At 40.8% G+C, this 22,147-nt stretch overlaps 1 protein-coding gene across 6 annotated transcripts in view, besides 1 other annotated feature; it reads left to right on the forward strand.

Moving 5' to 3' along the window:
* Nucleotides 20,246-21,021: an enhancer, noted in NCBI's record as "H3K27ac hESC enhancer chr11:43333299-43334074 (GRCh37/hg19 assembly coordinates)". NCBI's record gives its function as "activates a minimal SCP1, AML or CMV promoter by ChIP-STARR-seq in naive H9 embryonic stem cells {active_cell/tissue: H9 hESC(naive)}" and the evidence as "EXISTENCE:reporter gene assay evidence [ECO:0000049][PMID:30033119]".
* Nucleotides 20,493-22,147, forward strand: part of API5 (apoptosis inhibitor 5) — a 32,534-nt gene continuing 30,879 nt past the window's right edge. For all 6 annotated transcript variants that reach the window (NR_024625.2, XM_006718359.5, NM_001142930.2 and 3 more), the window contains exon 1: nucleotides 20,493-20,693. Coding sequence is in view for 5 of the 6 variants with exons in the window: in XM_006718359.5 (XP_006718422.1) it covers nucleotides 20,625-20,693 (69 nt within the window). In the remaining variant the exon portion in view is untranslated. The remainder of the gene's footprint in view (nucleotides 20,694-22,147) is intronic.

Raw genomic sequence — 22,147 nt, forward strand, 5'->3', positions numbered from 1 at the left:
TTATCTTCTGGTTTCATGGGTCAGGGTAAATCATATGCCCAAGGCTTGGCAAGAGAGGCTAGAAAAATGAAGAACTGGCATATGCAGTAAGAGGCAGGTTCTGCCACATAGGAAAGTGGCCATCATATGCAGCCAAAAGTGCTAGTCCCAGGAGGCTACTCAGAGAGAGACGGCAGTGTTTTGGCCGCCATCTTGGCATCTTCTCCAGAAACAGCAAACACACACACATAGAGAAGTTGCCCAGAAATATTAAGTCTGTGAATCAAAACTCAAAGAGAAAGAAAGTCTTTACTTCAGATTTTAAAAATAAAATAAAAAGTCTTCTTGGAACAACCCTTTGACAGGACAGGAAAGTAGTAAATCTTTCTAAAGAGCAATTTGGCACCATGATCCAAAAGCCTTGAAGAATGAGCTTATCTTTTCTCTTAAGTAATTCCACTTATAGTAATCTATCATAAAGAAATAATCAGAGATGTAATGCAAGAAGTATGTGCAAAGATGCCCATCAAGCATTGTTGATAATAGTGAAAAACAGAACAACCTAAATGCTTAATAACACTTGAATGATTAAATAAATTATAACAAAATGGCATTCAATGTAGCTATGTGAAAACTATATTTAGAGGATTCTGGTTCAAGATGGCTGACTACAGACATTGGACACTCACCCTCTCCAGAATGAAGAACCAAAATTATGAATAATCACACCTCTAATAGGACATCCAGGAGAGAACTCCAGAGTCCAACAGAGAAGTTACAGGAAACACCTGAGGCACAGAAGGAGAAAGAAGTGAGCAACCAGCTCAGCTGAGATCAACATAGACTGGCTACATGGATAAAACATAATCCAACCATATGCTGCCTGTAAGAAATACACATTACCTATAAAGACACATATAGACTGGAAGTAGAGGGATGAAAAAAGATATTCCATGCAAATGGAAACCAAAAATGAGCAGCAGTAGCTATACTTATATCAGATTTTAAAAGACTTTAAGCCAAAAACAGCATAGAAAGAAATAAAGAAGGTCATTATTTAATGATAAAGGGATGAATCTAGCAAGAGGCTATAACAATTATAAATATATATGCACCCAACACTGGAGTGCTCAGATTCATAAAGAAAATATCAGTAGATCTAAAGAAAGAAATAGCAATACAATAATAGTGAGGGACCTCAACACCTCATTCTCAGCATTACATAGATCATTCAGACAGGGAAAAAAATTGGACTTAAACTGGACTTTAGACCAAATGAACCTAACAGGCAGACATGTACAGAACATTTTATCCAACAACTGCAGAATATACATTCTTCTCATGAACATATAGAACTTTCTCCAGGAGTGACTATATACTATGCCACAAAAGAAGTCTCAACAAATTTTTAAAAATCAAAATGATATCAAGTATATTCTCAGACTACAATAGAGTAAAACTAGAAATGAATACCAACAGGAACTTTGGAAACTATACATATACCTAGAAATTAAACAATATGCTCCTGAATGATCATTGGGTCAATGAAGAAATTAAGATGAAAATAAAAAAATTTCTTGAAACAAATTAAAATGGGAATACAACATACCAAATCTGTGGGACATAGCAAAAGCCATGCTAAGCAAGAAATTTATAGCAATAAACACCTACATAAAAGGAAAAAAAAACAGAAATATTTCAAATAAACCATCGAATGATAATACACCACAAAGAACTAGAAAAGCAAGAACAAACCAAACCCAAAATTGATAGAAGGAAAGAAATAACAAGGATCAGAGCAGAACTAAATAGAGACTAAAAAACAGTACAAAGGAACAATAAAATTTAAAGCTGGTTCTTCTAAAAGATCATAAAATTGATAAACCACTAACTAGACTAACCAAGAAAAAAAACAAATAAAACAAATAAGACATGAAAAAGGAGACATTTCAACTGATACCACAGAAGTACAAAAAAAGTCAGAGTATTATGAACAACTGTACACTGACAAAGTGGAAAATCTAAGGGAAATGGATAAATTCCTAAAAACATACAACCTACCAAGATTTAATCAGGAATAAAGAGAAAACCTGAACAGACCAATAACCAGCAGCAAGATGGAATAAGTAATAAAAAGTCTCCCAACAAAGAAAATCCCAGGAGTGGATGGATTCACTGCATAATACTACCAAATGCACAAAAAAGAACTAATACCAATTCTTTTTTAACTATTCCAAAAAATTAAAGATGGAATGCTCCCTGACTCATTCTACAAAGCCAGCATTAACCTGATGTCAAAACCAGACAAGAACACACACACACAAAAAGAAAACTATCAGCCAATATCTCTGATGAATATAAATGCAAAAATCCTCAGCAAAATACTAGGAAATGAAATCCAACAACATGTCAAAAAGATCATATTCCATGATCAAGTGGGATTTATATAATGGTTGCAAGGATGGTTCAAAATACACAAATCAATAAACATAATACATTGCATCAACAAAATAAATGACAAAAAACGCATGATAATCTCAGTAAATGCAGAAAAGCGTTTGACAAAATTCAACACCTCTTCATGATAAAAACTCTAAGCAAACTAGGCATAGAAGGACCATACCTTAAAATAGTAAATGAAATATATGACAAACCCACAGCTAACATCATACTTAACGGGAATTTGTTGAAAGCCTTTTCCATAAGAACTGGAACAAGGCAAGGATGCCTACTTTGACCACTCATATTTCACATAGTACTGGAAATCCTAGCCAGAGAAATCAGGCAAGAAAAAGAAATAAAAGGCATCCAAATTGGAATAGAGGGATTCAAATTGTTCCCTTTTGGCCAGACGCAGTGGTCCACGCCTGTAATCCCAGCACTTTGGGGGACCGAGGCTGGTGGATCACAAGATCAGAAGATCAAGACCATCCTGGCTAACACGGAGAAACCCTGTCTCCACTAAAAATACAAAAAATTAGCCAGGCACTGTGGCAGGTGCCTATAGTCCCAGCTACTCGGGAGGCTGAGGCAGGAGAATGGCATGAACCCAGGAGGTGGAGCTTGCAGTGAGCCGAGATTGTGCCACTGCACTCCAGCCTGGACAACAGAGCAAGACTCTGTCTCAAAAAAAAAAAAGTTCCTTTTTGCAGATGCACGATCTTCTATCTAGAAAAACATAAAAGATTTCACCAGAAAACTTTTAGAACTGATAAATTCAATAAATTTGCAGTATACAAAATGAACATACAAAAATCATAAGCATTTTATACATCAGTAATGAAAAGACAAAAAAGTCAAGAAGGCAATCCCATTTAAAATAGCTAACAAAAAAAAGTACCTGGGAATATATTTAACCAAGGAGATGAAAGATCTCTACTAGGAAAACTACAAAACTCTGATGAAGGGAATTGAAAAGAATACAAACAAGTGGGAAAACATCCCATGCTCATGGAACGGGAGGATTAATATTGTTAAAATGACCATATTGACCAAAGCAACCTAGGGATTCAATGCAATCGCTATCAAAACGGCAACATCATTTTTCATAGAAATATTTTAAAAATTCTAAAATTTGTATGGAACCAAAAAGAGCCTGAATAGCCAAAGAAATCCTGAGCAAAAAGAATGAAGCTGGAGGCATCACACTACCTGACTTCAGAATGTATTACAAGGCTCCAGTAACCAAAACAGCACGATATTGATACACAAATAGACACATAGACTGACAGAAGAGAACAGAGAAGCCAAAAATGAATCCGCATATTTGCAGCGAGCTCATCTTCAACAAAGCTGCCAATAACATTCACTGGGGAAAGGACACCCTTTTCCATAAATGGTGCTGAAAAAGCTGGCTAACCATACGCAGGAGAATGAAACTTGATCCCTATCTTTCACCATACACAAAAGTGAACTCAAGATGGATTAAGGACTTAAATCTAAGACCCAAACCTATAAAACGAATGGAAGAAAATATTTTTAAAACTCCCCAAGACATGGTCTAGGTAGAGATTTTATGGCTAAGACCTTAAAAGGCAACAAAAATAGACAAATTGAACTATAATAAACTAAAAAGCTTCTGCACAGCAAAACAGACACATCATCAGAGTGAAGAGACAACCTTTTGGATGGGAGAAAGTATTTACAAATTACTCATCCAACAGGAGACTAATATCCAGAATATACAAGGAATTCAACCATCTCAACAGTTAAAAAACACATAATCCCATTAAGAAGTAGGCAAAGGACATGAATAGACATTTCTCAAAAGAAGACATAAAAATGGACAACAGGTCTATGAAAAATGTTCAACATCATTTGAGAAATGAAAATCAAAACCACAATGAGCTATCATCCCACCTCAGTTATAATGGTTACTATTAAAAACACAAAAAAAAACAGATGCTCGTAAGGATGTGGAGAAAAGGGATTTCTTATGCACTGTTGGTGGGGATGTAAATTATTACAACCCCTATGGAAAACAGTATGAGTTCTCAAAAAACTAAAATTATAACTACCATATGACCCAGCAATCCCACTACTGGGTATCAATCCTAAAGAAAAGAAATCAGTATGTCAAAGAAATACCTGCACTTGCATATTTATTGCAGCACTATTACAATAGCAAAGATCTGGGATCAACGTAAGTGCCCATCAACAAATGAATGAATTTTTTTAAATGTGGTACATGTACACAACGGAATACTATTCAGGCATTAAAAATAGAATGAAATCATATCATTTGCAGCAATATGGATGGAACTGGAGGTCATTATGTTAAGTGAAAGAAGGCAGGCACAGAAAGACAGATACCACATGTTCTCACTCATATGTGAGAGTTAAAAAACTTGATCTAATAGAGGTCTAATAGAGATAAAGAATAGAACGAAAAACGCCAGAGACTGGGAATTGTGTGGGGCTGGGGGGAGGGAGAGAAGAGTAGTTGGTTATGGGAGCAAACATACAGTTGGGTAGAAGAAATAAGTTATAATGTTTAATAACAGACTAGGGCGACTATACTTAGCAACCATATTATGTATATTTCAAAGTAACTAGAAGAGAGGTCTTGAAATGATACCAACATATAAAAATGATAAACCCTCAAAGTGATGGATACCCCAATTACTCTAATTTGATCATTACACATTCTTTGCATGTAACAAACATTCACATGTACACCATCAATATGTAAATTAATGTACACTATCAATATGTAAATTATGATATATCAATAAAAGGAAAAAACATTTTAAAAAATATTTAACAATACAGGAAAAGGTTTCTGATTTAAGTGAAAAACAAGTTACAACATGATATACCCCTAATAAAAATTTTAAATAATGTTTTCTATAAGTTAGAATTTATATTTTTATGTATAAATAGGAAAAACTACTCCAACCTGGGTAACAGAGTAAGACCCTGTCTCAAAGAAAGAAAAAAAGAAATAGGAAAAGCATTTTCATTTTTTTCAGCAAACATACTGGAGTGTTAACAGAGGTTGTTGTCTCTGAGCATAGGATAGTAGGAAATTTTTATTTCCTTCTTTGTACTTTTCTTTGTGGTTCAAATTTTCTTCAGTGAATAAGAACTACATTTTTAATTTTAAAATGTAACGATTATCCATACTTTTAAAACTATCTTTTTTTTTTTTTTTTGAGACAGAGTCTCACTCTACAGCCCAGGCTGGAGGGCAGTGGCCCGATCTCAGCTCACTGCAACCTCCACCTCCCAGGTTCAAGCGATACTCCTGCCTCAGCCTCCCAAGTAGCTGAGACAACAAGTGCCCACCACCACGCCTGGCTAATTTTTGTATTATTAGTAGAGACAGGGTTTTACCATGTTGGCCACACTGTCTCGAACTCCTGACCTCAGGTGATCTGCCTGCCTAGGCCTCCCAAAGTGCTGGGATTGCAGGAGTGAGCCACCGCACCCAGCCAAAATATGTTTTTCATTTCATATTTGGGAATTGATTCTAGGACCACTCTGCCTTGCTGGACAAAATTGATACCAACTTGTGTCTCTTTGCATGCAGTAGGTATTTGCTATCTGTATTGATTAATGAATGGGGAGCGTGGAAGGAATAAAGATGCACAGAATCTGCTCATTCTCCAGGAAGGGAAAACAAAGAGAGGAAAGAATTTTCTCCAGCTTCAGTTACTTGCTACAGTGCAGGATAGTGGGAAAAGATGTAAAGCTGTAGAATCTAAGAGCTAGACTGGGCAAGGCAGCTCACACCTATAATACAAGCACTTTGGGAGGCCAAGGGGAGAGGATCCCTTGAGCTCAAGAGTTTGAGGCTAGCCTGGGCAACAAAGAAAGACCCTACCTCTAGAGAAAATTTTTTAAAAAATTAGCCGGGAGTGGTGGTGCGTCCCTGTGGTCCCAGCTACACAGGAGGCTGAGGCAAGAGAATCGCTTGAACCCAGGAGGTCGAGGCTGCAGTGAGCCAAGATCGTGCCACTATACTCCAGCCTGGGTGACAGAGTGAGACTCTGTCTCTAAAAAACAAAAACAAAAAAGAAGGCCAGGCACGGTGGCTCATGCCTGCAATCTCAGCAATCTGTGAAGCCGAGGTGGGTGGATCACCTGAGGTCAGGAGTTCAAGACCAGCATGGCCAACATGGCGAAACCCCATCTCTACTAAAAATACAAAAATTAGCCAGGCATGGTGGCTGGTGCCTGTAATCCCAGCTACTTGGGAAGCTGAGGCTGGAGAATCACTTGAACCTGGGAGGCAGAGGTTGCAGTGAGCCGAGATCGAGCCTCTGCACGCCAGCCTGGGCAACAGAGCAAGACTTTTGTTTCAAAAAAAAGAAAAAGAAAAAGAATCTAAGAGCTTAGCTTTGAAGTCAAAAGGAGCTGAGTTCAAATCTTGCCTCTATCACCAATTAATAAACCTAAATAAACTTGGACAACTTATGTGACCTCGTGATCTCTCTGCTATAGCGCATAATTAAATGTATACTTCTCAAACGTGGAGAGAGAGGCAGATCCCACAATGAAAGCACTTAGCATGGAGCTGCACGGCATACAGAAAGCACTCGATATATGTTGGCTGTCATTTTTGTTACTGTTGTTAGCATTGTTATCAGTAGCAGCTGCTGCATCATCTCAGCTGCTCTCACTTCCTCCTTCAGGTTCTCTCCACTCCCGAGACCCTAAAGGTTAGTAATCAATCCATGCTAGGAAGGTGAGACCAGCCCCAGCCTCCACTGCACCTTTTTTACTGGTAATTCCCAAACAGCTAAATGTCCCGATGATCAGTAGTGGACTATATGAAACATTTTGCACTATATAAAATGTCTTTTGAAGAAGATGCCATAACTCAGACAAAGTGGACTTTCTTCAGCTCAAGGAGAAATTCTCAATTATTTCCTTCCCGCCTTCCAAACTCCCTAGCTATTTAAGAAATCCAGAGCAAATTTCCTGAGCTTTAAGCATTTTGCAAAACAAAGTGGCCCTACACATGTAAGGCTTTTTCAAAAGCATGAAATAAGTGATGCCAGCTGTTAATACGTTTAAGTAAATGTGAGCAAAAATTGTTAAAAATAAAACAAGCTGATCACCCTCAAAGTACTTTTGTCCTTTAAATCTTCACAGTACACTAATGTAGGAATTACTCTTCTCTGCAGATAGAAAAAGGAGGCTGAAAGAGTAAAATTAACTGAGTGGCCAAAAAAGCATTAATAATAATAATTTCTGCCACTGTTCTCACTTATTTGTGGGATCTAAAAATCAAAATAATTTAACTCACAAAGATAGAGAGTAGAAGGATGGTTACCAAAGGTTGGGAAGGGTAGCAGGGAGGGGAGAGAAGATGGGGATGGTTAATCCATACCGAAAAAACAGTAAGAAAGAATGAATAGGTCCTACTATTTGATGGTACAACAGGGAGACTATAGTCAATAATAATTCAATTATACATTTTAAAATAACTAAAAGAGTATAATTGGGATGTTTGTAACACAAAGGATAAATGCTTGAGGGGATGCATATACTCCATTCTTCATGATATGTCTATTATGCATCACATGCCTGTATCAGAACATCTCATGTACCCCATAAATACACACACCTACTATGTACCCACAAAACTTAAAAATTTAAAATAATATAATTTGGCAGGTCACAATCATTCATGCCTGTAATCCCAGCACTTCAAGAGGCCAAGGCAGGTGGATCACTTGAGGCCAAGAGTTCGAGACCAGCCTGCCCAACAGAGTGAAACCCTACCTCTACTAAAAATACAAAAATTAGCTGGGCATGGTGGTGCGTGTCTGTAGTCCCAGCTACTCGGGAGGCTGGGGCAGGAGAATTGCTTGAACCCAGGAGGTGGAGGTTTCAGTGAGCCAAGATCGTGCCACTGCACTCCTACCTGGGCAACAGAGCGAAACTCCATCTCAAATAATAATAATTATTATTTCTGCCACTAATAATCTCTCTTCTCTTGATTTTTTTTTTCCTTTTTTGAGGCAGGGGGCAGGGTCTTACTCCTGTCACCCAGGCTGGAGTGCAGTGGCGTGATCATGGCTCACTGCAGCCTCAACCTTCCCAGCTCAGGTGATTCTCTCACCTCAGCCTCCAGAGTAGCTGGGACTACAGGTGCTTACTGGGGTTTCACAACGTTACCCAGGCTGGTCTCAAACTCCTGGGCTCCAACAATTTGCCCTCCTTGGCCTTCCAATGTGTCGAGACTACAGGCATGAGCCACCACACCTGGTCGTCTTTCTTGGTCTTACTTAGCCTTACCCATTTCATCTGTAAAGTAGGGATACCCGGCTGGGAGCGGTGGCTCACACTTGTAATCCCAGCACTTTGGGAGGCCAAGGCGGGCAGATCACGAGGTCAGGAGATCGAGACCACGGTGAAACCCCGTCTTTACTAAAAAATACAAAAAATTAGCTGGGCTTGGTGGCAGGCGCCTGTAGTCCCAGCTACTCGGAGAGGCTGAGGCAGGAGAATGGCGTGAACCCGGGAGGCGGAGCTTGCAGTGAGCCAAGATCGCGACACTGCACTCCAGCCTGGGTGACAGAGCTAGACTCCATCTCAAAAAAAAAAAAAAAAAAAAAAAAGTGGGGATACCCAGGGGGCACATCAGAAAAACATTCAAAACATGGTACTTACTATCATTACTATTAGGCAGTCACTATGTGACAGGCTCTGCACAAGGAGCTCTCATTTTAACCTCACAACAGTCCCATGATGTGGCACTATTATTATTTCCATTTTAAAATGGGAACACTGAGGTTTGGAGTAGTTTATTAACTTGCTTAAAGTCCCAGGGATAGTATTTCTTTGGTCCCCTCTGTCACCCTTCTAATCCAGTGCTCTTAACTGCTAGTGGTCTCTCACTCTCACTCTCTCTCTCTTTGTCTCTGTCTGTCTCGCCCCTGTTCTTCTGTAGCTAGGACAGTAATGGCAACATCTGGCGCTCCTGCACTGCAATGGGCAGCAGGCCAGCAGGAGGTGAGCTGCTCTTCAGTAGGTGGTCTGTTTACAGCTTGTTTTCAGACAAACAATTCAACTTTTCCAGTGAGTTGTTTACCCTACTCTTAGTTAGTGCTTAGGAACCCAGGTTAGGTTCCCAGGTGTTGTGACAGAGGGGGCCCTCAATCAGCAGACACAGGAGAAGGCCATGTAAAGACAGATGCAGAGATTACAGTGATGCTACCACAAGCCCAGGAATGCTGACAGCCACCAGAAGCTGGAAGAGGAAAGAAACAGAATCTCCCCCAGAGCCTCTGGAAGCAACGTGGTCTTGCCAGCAACACCTGAATTTCAGACTTCTGGCCCCAAGAACTGTGAGAGCATTGCGAGAACATGAAATGGTTTAAAGAGACCACATGTATGATCATTTGTTGTCGCAGCCACAGAAAACTAATACACCCTGGTTTCCCATATTTGAGATGCAATCAGAGGGAACAAATTTATCTCCAAAGAGTAACTGACAGCGACCAAAGAACATTCATTCTTGAAATATAAATTAATAAGACCTAAAATGGTACAAGGGAAGGAAGCGAACACTGAGCACTTACAATGGGGCAGGCACTGTCCTAAGCACTAGCCTGTATTATTTCATTTAATCCCCACAACAACCCTAGAAGTAGATACTATTCATAATTATGTGAAGCTCCCGTGGCCAGACCCAAATTGGATTAGAGGTTGGAAGTGTCTTGATAAGGAACTGGGAGACTCCACACCTGACTTAGAAATAAACATATTTAAATAACAGGCAGTTTAGTAGATAGAGGTGCAGCCATCAGAGCCAGACTACCTGGATATGAACCCAAGAACTTCTCACCAGCTGTGTGGCCCTGGTGACAGGGTCGCATAAAGTTACATAACCTTACATTAAGTTATTGTGAACATCATTTGAGCTGAAACATCGAAAGCACTTAGCACAAAGCCTGACAGATAGCAGTTATTCCACAGGGTTCAGCTATTACTGTAACACACATGCTATTATGCACACAGTTAACACTTAATGTATATCTGCTATGATTATCATCATTAGTTGGTTTAAGACCTAGGTAGACCTTAATTTGGAAATCTTTCTTGGTTTCTTCCAGAGAGCCATGATCTCTTTTCTGTTAGAATTAAAAAGACCTCCTTGGAAGACGGAAATTTAAAATAAAAGCTCTCAGAATGTAGGCAAAAGATGGAGCCAAAATATAAGGCATACAAACTACTGACAGAGGCCAGGCACAGTGGCTCATACCTATAATCCCAGAACTTTGGGAGGCCAAGGTGGGCATATCACCTGAGGTCAGGAGTTCGAGACCGGCATGGCCAACATGGAGAAACCCCCATCTCTACTAAAAATACAAAAATTAGCTGGGCATGGTGACATGTGCCTGTAATCCCAGCTACTCAGGAGGCTGAGGTAGGAGAATCGCTTGATCATGGGAGGTGGAGGTTGCAGTGAGCCAAGATCATGCCACTGCACTCCAGCCTGGGGGACAGAGCAAAACTCCATCTCAAAAAAAAGGAATAAATCCATCAGAAATGTCACACCTCTATATAGCAGCCAATGTTTCCCCAAATAAAAGGTCAGGAGTTTGAGACCAGCCTGACCAACATGACAAAACCCCACCTCTACTAAAAATACAAAAACTAGCTGGGCATGGTGGCACACACCTGTAATCCCAGCTACTTGGGAGGCTGAGGAATGGGAATGGCTTGAACTTGGGAGGCAGATGTTGCATCAAGCCAGGATAGCACCACTTCACTCTAGCCTGGGCAACCGAGTGAGAGAGTGAGAACTGTCACCAAAAAAAAAAAAAAAAAAAAGTACTGGAAGTACTGGCAGGGGAGGAGGTGGTCCTTTAAGCTTTTCAACTAATATTTAATAGACAAACCCAATTTTAAAGTTACAAAATAAATAAATGTAAAGATAGTCACAGCCCTCAAAATGTCAAAATATACTGGGGCAAAAGTCAGTGATGTTAGGTAGGTAGGTGGGATAATGGGAGGTTAGGAAAAGGAGATAATGGTTTTCCTAAAAATAAATTAATAAAAAGAAAACAAAGTTAAAAAAAATCTTACTGCCAAGAAATCAGTAGAAGCTTTTGTCATACTACAATAAACTGTTGTTGGAAAACTTGTTTTTTAGTTTATTCTTTCATTTATTTAACACTTATTAAACATCTAATAAGTAGTTCCTGATCAAGTTTTATTATCCAGTGGAGCTGTATACAGACAACAGAAATACAAAGTAGGAAGATTTGAGTGTCACAGAGAAGCAACAAAAACGAAGAGATGCGCTAGGCACAGTGACTCACACCTGCAATCCCAACACCTGGGGAGGCCAGGCAGGAGGAAGGCTTGAGACCAGGAGTTCAAGACCAGCCTAGGCAAAATAGTGAGACTCTGTACAAAAAATTTAAAAATTAGCTGGGCAAGGTAACACACACCTATAGTCCCAGCTACTTGAGAGGCTAAGGCAGGAGGATTGCTTGAGCCCAGGGGGGTAAGGCTGCAGTGAGCTGTGATCATGCCACTGCACTCCAGCCTAGGTGACAGAGCGAGAAAAAAAAAAAAGGAAGAGATGTTCACTGTGGATTTCCAGGGCAAGCACTAAACCAGATAAGCACCTAGATCTCTTCTAGACTCTGTAAGGCTAATTCCAGACTGTCATCAGTCACATACCACAGCTTCCGTATATGAAGCCTTTCTATTGCCTGGTTTTATTCTATACTGATGTTATTGCTTTACTTGAGTAAACCAAATATATTTTACTCATGTATTTTGTTTATTGTTTTTCTGCCTCTGCCAGAATGTAAGCTTCCTGCTTGCTTGGCTTGGTTGCATTCTAAAACAGTGCTTGGCTCGTAGGAAATGTTCAATACGTACTTGAATGATGAACCAAAACACAATCTCTACTCAGGCACTCAGCTTTACAGAATGAAATCCAGATGGTCCTCAAACGTACCCATTGACACAGAATGTTATCTGTTTGTGCTGCTTTAACAAAATACCTGAGACTGGGTGATCTATAAGTAATAGCATTTTGTTTCTCACAGTTCTGGAGGCTGAGAAGTCCAAGATCAAGGGCTAGCAGGTTTGGTGCCTGGTGAGGGCTACTCTCTCTGCTTCAAGACATCACCTTATTGTTGTGTCCTCATGTGGCAGAAGGACAGAAAGGCAACAAGGGCTAAATGCTGTGTGAAGCCCCTTTTATAAAGGCCTTACTCCCATTTAAGAGAGAAGAGCCAGCCAGGCATGGCAGCTCATGCCTATAATCCCAATACTTTGGGAGGCCGAGGCAGGCAGATCACCTGCGGTCAGGAGACCAGACTGACCAACATGGACCCCATCTCTACTAAAAATACAAAATTAGCCAGGCATGGTGGTGCATGCCTGTAACCCCAGCTATTCGGGAGGCTGAGGCAGGAGAATCACTTGAACCCGGGAGGCGGAGGTTGTGGTGAGCCGAGATGGTGCCACTGCACTCCAGCCTGGGCAACAAGAGCGAAACTCCATCTCAAAAAAGGAAAAAAAAAAAAGAGGGAAGAGCCCTCACGACCTAATCACTTCCTAAAGGATCCACCTATTAATACTATTGTTTGGAGATTAAGTTCCAAGAGGGGACAGAAACATTCAAACCATAGCAGATGCTACAGAAATGCCCTTACAAGGAAATCAACACCTGCCTCGCCTCCTCATTTTCTAGGAACAGTCCCACACTCCTCTATCAGTAGCTATGGGCCCCTGGCAGCAATGTTTGCTTTGTATGATCTTGCTTTCCTGGTCTAAATTGATTGGGTGGAATAGACATGTGACCTAAGGTTAGCCAATCCAATTCTCTTTTCTGGGATTGAATTTTGCCTTTGTAAGAATAGAGAAAGTTTGACAACATGACCTCTAAACTCCTTCAGAGATCCAATGAAAAGGAAGGAGAATCTGTATAAAATTACAAAAGTCATTGTAGAAAATCTGGACAATACAGTAAAGCACAAAGAAGAAAATAAAAATCACCTATTTATCAGTGTAATAATGAAAAATGAGGGACAACTGACATATCCTATAAGAAACAGAGAAACTATTAATAAACTATGGTACATCCATAATAGGCAGTGGCCAGAAGTGGTGGCTCACACCTGTAATCCCAGCACTTTGGGAGGCTGAGGTGGGTGGATCACCTGAGGTCAGGAGTTCAAGACCAGCCTGGCCAATATGGTGAAACCTCATCTCTACTAAAAATACAAAAATTAGAGGCCGGGCGCAGTGGCTCACACCTGTAATCTCAGCACTTTAGGGAGGCAGAAGCAGGCAGATCATGAGGTCAGGAGATGGAGACCATCCTGGCTAACACGGTGAAACCCCATCTCTACTAAAAATACAAAAAATTAGCCGGGTGTGGCGGCACGCGCCTGTAATCCCAGCTACTTGGGAGGCTGAGGCAGGAGAATCACTTGAACCCAGGAGGCAGAGGTTGCAGTGAGCCGAGATCACACCACTGCACTCCAGCCTGGGCGACAGAGTGAGACTCCCGTCTCAAAAAAACAAAACAAAACAAAACAAAAAATTAGCTGGGCATGGTAGCAGGCACCTGTAATCCCAGCTACTCTGAAGGCTGAGGCAGGAGAATGGCTTGAACCCAGGAGGCAGAGGTTGCAGTGAGCCGAGATCACGCCATTGCACTCCAGCCTGGGTGACAAGAGTGAAACTCCATCTAAAAATAATAATAATAATAATAATAGGCAGTAAGCTCAGGGAAAGATTTACAAAACATATTGTTAACAAAAGCAAGGTGTAGAACAAAATGTGTAATGTGCTCCCATTTATGTATTTTTAGACCCATGTGTTGTATATAAAGGCCTATAAGAATATAAATTATATTGGTAGTCATAGTTACCTCTGAGGAAGGGAGAGTTGAAGAGGAACTTTTGCTTATTACATGAAACATTTTGTAGTACTTGGATGTATTATGATGATACTGTATTCTTACAGTTACTTGTTTAATTAAAGAAAAATGGAAAAATTATAAAAAGATACTTTATAAGAAGTAGAATTGACTAACATTGGAGATAAGGAAACCATTTAGGAACTGTGGCCATTGTTCAGATTTGAGGGGATAGGGTCTGACATGGGACAGAAGGAAGAGTGAGAAACACATAAATGTGTGATAGATTTAGGGTATAAAATTGAGACTTCTTATTGATTGAATGTAGTGTGAAAAGGAGGAGGAGAGAATGTTCAGGCTGAGAGGCAAAGCACTTCCACAGCAAAGTGTTGCCTTTTTGGCAAGGCATGGTGGCTCACATCTTTAATCGCAACACTTTGAAAGCCCAAGTTGGTGGCGGGTGTGGAGGCTCATGCCTGTAATCCCAGCACTTTGGGAGTTCGAGATGGGTGGATCACGAGGTCAAGAGATTGAGATCATCCTGGCCAACATGGTGAAACCCCATCTCTACTAAAAATACAAAAATTAGCTGGGCATGATGGCATGCACCTGTAGTCCCAGCTACTCCGGAGGCTAAGGCAGGAGAATTGCTTGAACCTGGAAGGCAGAGGTTGCAGTGAGCTGAGATCGTGCCACTGCACTCCAGGCTGGTGATAGAGTAAGACAAGAAAGAGAGAGAGAGAGAGAGAGAGAGAGAGAGAGAGAGAGAAAGGAAGGAAGGAAGGAAAGAAGGAAGGAAGGAAGGAGAGAGGAAGGAAGGAAAGAGAGAGAGAGAAAGAAGGAAAGAAAGAAAGAAAAGGGAGGGAGGGAAAGAAGGGAGGGAGGGAAAGAAGGGAGGGAGGGAAAGAAGGGAGGGAGGGAAAGAAGGGAGGGAGGGAAAGAAGGGAGGGAGGGAAAGAAAGAAAGAAAGAAAGAAAGAAAGAAAAGAAAGAAAGAAAGAAAAAGAAAGAAAGAAAGAAAGAAAAAGAAAGAAAGAAAGAAAAAGAAAGAAAAGAAGCCAAGTTGGGAGGATGGCTTGAGCCTGGGAGATTGAGGCTGCAGTGAGCCATGACTGCACCACTGCACTCTAGCCTGGGTGACAGAGGGAGACCCTGTCTCAACAACAACAACAACAACAACAACAAAAAAGCATGGGTTTTGGAATTAGGCTGCCAGGACTCAAAACTCATCTCAGTTAAGGAACATGGGACCAGTTAGTTCACGTCTCTGTGTCTGTTTCCTCATTTGTAAAGTGGAAATGATAATATTATCTCCTGGCTCATAGAGTTTTTGAGAATTGATTCACATGAAGTGCTCAGAACTCTGCCATCACTTAATATACGCTGGTTATTATTGGGATGACTCCCAATATCATTACCATCAGCATCGTCATCGATTTTGTCATCATTATGATCATTAGGACCAATTGTAGGCCTTTAGCTTAAATGACCAGCTAGAAATACATAAAAATAGGAAACGATTTAAAGCAAACCCCAGGACTCTTAGAGAAGAAAAAGGAGACCAAGAAGTGTTCACAAGCCTGACTAACGTGGCTAAGTAATAGACTGCATCAGGAAGAGTAGTGTTGAATGAAACCGCGTGGCAACTTAGACAAGCATGAGTTTTTTTCCATTTGTTTGGTTGTTATTGGGTTTTTTGGTTGTTTTGTTTTCTTTCATTTTGTTTTGTTTTGAGACAGAGTCTCACCCTGTTGCCCAGACTGGAGTGCAGTGGCACTATCTCAGCTCACTGCAACCTCCACCTCCCAGGTTCAAGCGATTCTCCTGCAGCTGGGACTACAGGCGCCTGCCACCATGCCCGGCTAATTTTTGTATTTTTAGTAGAGACGGAGTTTCACCATGTTGACCAGGCTGGTTTCAAACTCCTGACCTCAAGTGATCCTCCCACCTCGGCCTCCCAAAGTGTTGGGATTACAGGCGTGAGCCACAGTGCATGGCCCTCAAGGGTCAGTTTTAAAGGAGTTTGTATGAATAGCTATATTTTAGAATATAGAAACACTAGTTGAGTCTTTTTCCTCTTCTTAAATTTGTTTTCAAAAATGGATACATAAAATATATTATGTATATATATATATATATTGGCATACTTATTGTAATGAATTAAAACATTAAGCCAAAGCAAAGGTCCCCCGAGCAAACGCAGCTTTATTTCCTGCCCCGGATTGCTTTTTCTACGTTTAAACATATATGTATCACACATCAAATACCTAACTTGAAGGATGTGATCAAAACACAGTTTTATTGGCTGGGCACAGTGGCTCACGCCTGTAATCCTAGCACTTTGGGAGGCCGAGGCAGGCAGACCACTTGAGCTCGGGAGTTTGAGACCAGCCTGGGCAACATGGTGAAACCCTGTCTCTACTAAAAAGACAAAAATTAGCCAGGTGTGGTGGTGTGTGTCTATAGTCTCAGCTACTTGGGAGGCTGAGGTGGGAGGATGGTTTGAACTCAGGAGGTTGAGGCTGAAGTGAGCTGAGATCACACCACTGCATTCCCGCCTGGGCAATAGAGCCAGACCATGTCTAAAAAATATATATATTAAGCTATAATATATATAAAAATATATAAGATAATAAAAGTATATATGTAGCTATATATGTCTATATATATAAATATACATGTGTATATATATAGCTTTCTTACTGTCTTCCACCACGTCTTTAAAATTTATTCAGGTGGTGTCTTAGTCCATTTATGCTACTACAACAAAATACCTTAGAATGGGTAATCTATAAACAACAGAAACCTATTGCCTCAGTTCTGGAAACTGGGAAGTCCAAGATCAAGGCACCAGCAGGATCTTGCTCTCTCAAGCCTCTTGTATAAGGGCACTAATCTCATTGGTGGGAGCAGAGCCTTCAGGACATAATCATCTCTCAAAGGCCCCACCTTTTAATAGTATCTTGCGGGGTAGGTTTCAATACATGAATCTGGGAAGACCCACTCATTCAGACCATAGCAGGCAGGGTCATCTCATTCCAGCCCTAGAGAGAAATTCTGGCAGACCCAGGCCTTTTCTGCTTCAGAAATTAAAACGTCCATTCCAACATGTGAATCCAAACTTAATTTCCAATCAGATCTTCTTCTATTCTCCAGCTGAGGCCGCTCCCTATCTTGCCTTTCTTCTCTGTATCCTCCACTCAGTTTGGTGGGCAGCTTCTGACCCCTCCTGCGCAAATGCATTGAGAGGGGAACATGAGAAGAAAGGAAGAGGAGAACCTCGGAAAGGTCTGGACAGTGCAATACCACAGGCTCTCTCTGGTCTGATAGAGACCAGGTCTGTCCTGTGGGCCACTCCAAGGGGCCTTTAGAGGCCACTCCCAACGGTGACTCCCGTGAGGTGTTGATGTGCTGCTCGCAGTCACCACTCTCTGCGCCATTGACTCTCGCCATGGGGGCTTTCTTACTCTCAGGCAGAAGGACTCAAAATGAATCCAGAATCTCTTTCTCTTTTATATGGCTCATCTCTGCTATAAGGGAATCACTCCCATCCCCTCGCTCCAGCAAAATCTGGGAACACGGTAGATCCCAACATGGCCACCTCCACTCTGCAGTCACGGGTAACCTGAGCTTATCAGGCGTGTCCAGTCCTTTGTGTTTCTCAACCACCTGGGACCATATTTCAGGCTCCTCAAAATGGCCCCACGCTTGAGGGAAGGGGGTAGAAATTGCCCTCAACCTACTCACAAGACATCTTTCTCAAAAACATAAAAATAAAAAAATCACCAATTCTCATTTTATTCTCTAATTCTTTTTCTTTTTCTCCACAAGAGTCCAAATTGCAATTTTTTTTTTTTTTTTTTTTTTGAGACAGAGTCTTGCTCTGTCACCCAGACTGGAGTGCAGTGGCACAATCTCGGCTCACTACAAGCTCCACCTCCCGGGTTCACGCCATTCTCCTGCCTCAGCCTCCCAAGTAGCTGGGACTACAGGCGCCCACCACCACACCCAGCTAATTTTTTGTATTTTTAGTAGAGACAGGGTTTCACCGTGTTAGCCAGGATGGTCTTGATCTCCTGACCTCGTGATCCGCCCGCCTCAGCCTCCCAAAGTGCTGGGATTACAGGCGTGAGCCACCGCGCCTGGCCTGCAATTTTTTTTAACATTGAATTTTACACTTGATTTCTTATTTTCAGACAGGGGTCGTGCTGTGTTGCCCAGGCTGGACTTGAACTCCTGGGCCCAAGTGGTTCTCCCCGCTTAGCTTCCCAAATAGCTGGGACTGTTGGCTATCACGCTCAGCTCTAATCCTTTTTAGGATGTGAGATTTATCCTCAATCTAACTGAGAAGTACAAGAGCCGGGGAGTTCTTTTGTAATCATTTCCCGTGTATGTTCTGTACAAGTGGATGTGGCTTTGAAATTTACAGTCTATTATAGTTTGATATTTCAATCCTGAAATGTTAACATCCTTTAACATCCTTTTACACATACACACATAACTTTGTTTTGTATGCTTTGTATGTTTTACATAATGGGATCATCTTATACCTGCCTTTTAACTTTTCTTTTTCTTTTTCTTTTTCTTTTTCTTTTAATTTTTTTGAGATAGAGTTTTGCTCTGTGGCCCAGGCTGGATTGCAGTGGCATGATCTGGGCTCACTGCAACCTCTGCCTCCTATGTGCATATAATTCTTCTGCCTCAGCCTCTCATGCAGCTGGGACTACAGGTGCATGCCACCACGCCTGGCTAATTTTTGTATTTTTAGTAGAGACAGGGTTTCACCATGTTGACCAGGCTGATCTTGAACTCCTGACCTCAAGTGATCCACCCAACTCAGCCTTCCAAAGTGCTGAGATTACAGGCGTTAGCCACCGCACACGGCTATATATATATATAATATTATTATATAAATATAATTATCTTAATATATAAATATATATTATTATCTTAATATATATAATATATATTATTATCTTAATATATATAATATATTATTATCTTAATATATATTATTATCTTAATATATAATTATATAATAATATACAATATATAATATATATTATATATATAATTGTATATATAATATAATATATAATATATATTATAATATTAATATCATAATATTATATATGATATATAAATATAATAATATATTAATATATATTAAGATAATAATATTAATATATTAATTATATAATTAATATATTATATATAATATAAGATAATTATAATATATAATTGATAATATTGATATATTAATTAATATTATATCTCAATATATAGATATATTATAATTATATTATATAATTAATGTATTAATTAATATTATTATCTTAATATATATTAATATAATATTATTATATTTATATTATATATTATATATTTATATATTAATATAATATTATTATATTTATATTATATATTATATATTTATATATTAATATATAATGTTATATATTATATAATATATAATATTATATATTAATATATAATATTATATATTATATAATATATAAAATTATTATATATTAATATATAATGTTATATATTATATAATATATAAAATATTATATATTATATCATATTATATATATAATTTCATTTAAACTTGTATCTTAGAAATTCTTATCAGTAAGCGTACGTGATTTCATTTATTTATTATTCTTTTGGATACTGGACATAATCAGGTGGCCCCAATTCTTTACACTGGCAGCAAAGATAAGCAAATTCTTCCAGCAGGCCAAATTTGACCCCGCACTTGATGAGCGTGGTGGACACAGAGGGTTTTTTAATAGCATAGGAATGTTTTTTGCTTCCCACCGGACCCACTAGCCTCTAGTGCCACCGATTAATATTACCTTCCTTGAATCAGGAGGAAACCATTTGTGACTTCTCATATGTAAGATCTTCTAAGGGCAGAAACGCAATTGTCTTTGTATTCACTTCCCCGCCCACCCACACCCCTTCCATGGAGAGCCTGCAGCCAAGCTCAAGCTTTCAAAAAGGCGTGAGCTAATTCAATCATCCTTGCCGCTTTTTTGCTCCTCCAGGCTGTAGAGGGCGACAAAAACCGCGGAGGCGCATTGGGGTGGGGGGTGTCTACTGAAGGCCGCTCCCGACGTGCGCGTCTTTACGTAGACGTCGGGGGCGCAGCCGCGCTGTGCGCGGTGACTGGCGGCTGCACTGGCGGCAGCTGGAGGTGTAATAGTGCGGGTAGTGGGTTTGGAGAAGTTCCGAGGCGGCGGTGGCGCCGGTCAGGACAAGGATAGCGGAACCGGGCCCTGGGCTTGTCGCTCACCATGCCGACAGTAGAGGAGCTTTACCGCAATTATGGCATCCTGGCCGATGCCACGGAGCAAGTGGGCCAGGTGAGTTGAGTCCCCGGGCGGCCTGCAGGGCCTGGCGCTCCGCGGCCTTTCGAAAGCGCTTCCCGCCGCACTCCCCGGGCCGAGCGGGGGCTGCGGCTTCATCCTCCCGGGGCCTCCTAGCCTCCTCAGGCCGTCTCGTCGGGGTGGGCCTCTCTGGGAGTGTAGACTCTGGTTTCACCAGGGAGACCGCGGTCCCCAGGGTTCCAGGCTTCCTTGCCTCCCTTGCCCAGCCTTTTCTCACCGTGGCGTAACCTAACTCAGCCCGTTCAGGCTCACGTTAATTCTTCTCACGGAGCTTTTCTCTACAGGATTCTCTTAAGCCTTTCTCCTTTTCGGTGGAGCTCAGTGCTTCCAAGATTAGATCGGGAGTTTTCTTCATGAGGTCAAGATGTGTTTTTTTTGGGGGGGAGGCAAAATTCTGCTACTAATTGAAGAAGAGTGTTTAGGAGACAGAAGTTTGTGAGAAACAGAAGAGGGACTCTTTGGTCCAGACTTTGATGAGAGCTCACGGTTTCATTTATTCAGTGCATTTTTTTGAGTGCCGAGCGCTGGAGATACAGATGGAAAGGTCCGCGCTCTCCCAGAATGTACAGTTAGGAGGGAGTGTAGTAAGAAAGATAGGCATTGTGAGGCCCGGCTTGGTGGCTCACGCCTGTAATCCGAGCACTTTGGGAGGCCGAGGCGGGCGGATCACGAGGTCAGGAGTTCGAGACCAGCCTGACCCACATGGTGAAACCCTGTCTCTACTAAAAATACAAAAATTAGCCGGGCGTGGTGACACGCGCTTGTAATCCTAGCTACTCAGGAGGCTGAGGTGGGAGGATTGCTTGAACCCGGGAGGCAGAGGTTGCGGTGAGCCGAGATCGCTTCACTGCACTCCAGCCTGGGAGACAAAGCAAGACCCCGTCTCAAAAAAAAAAAAAAAGGTTTTTTTTAAAAATTTATTCTTTTTAATGAAACATGTTTGAAGAAAATAAAACAGGGCTGGGCGAAGGAGAGTGTGAGTGCGCAGCTCTGAATGGAGTTGTCTGGAAGAGCTCTCTTAACGATGCTTGCCCCCGATACACAGTTTCTCAGCAGTGTTGAATTATCCATACAAGTCATTTGTTCCCTGTATGAGTTTTCAAGTACTGGAGTACATTGAACTTGATAAGTGGTTGGGTATGTGTGTTCTTGGGAAAAGAACCAGGCTCTCCTGGAGGTAACCTTGATCATTGTTTTAGAAATCCCACACCATAGCTTTTCAGCGCTTAGAACTTTGTGATTTTTCTGCTTACGCATCCCTTCTTGGAGAAAGTGGAAGATTCTAGTCTATTAACAGTCGTGGGAGTACCTTTCCCGTCCCCTTTTCTTAACATAATTCAAATAGGACTTTTCTGAGCTGAACGAAAAAAAAAAAATTTCATGTTGGAGATTTATTGTAGCTTAATCTAGAATTAAGAATATACCAGTTT

This window comes from Homo sapiens, chromosome 11 (genome assembly GCF_000001405.40).
Source record: "Homo sapiens chromosome 11, GRCh38.p14 Primary Assembly".
NCBI lineage: Eukaryota > Metazoa > Chordata > Mammalia > Primates > Hominidae > Homo > Homo sapiens.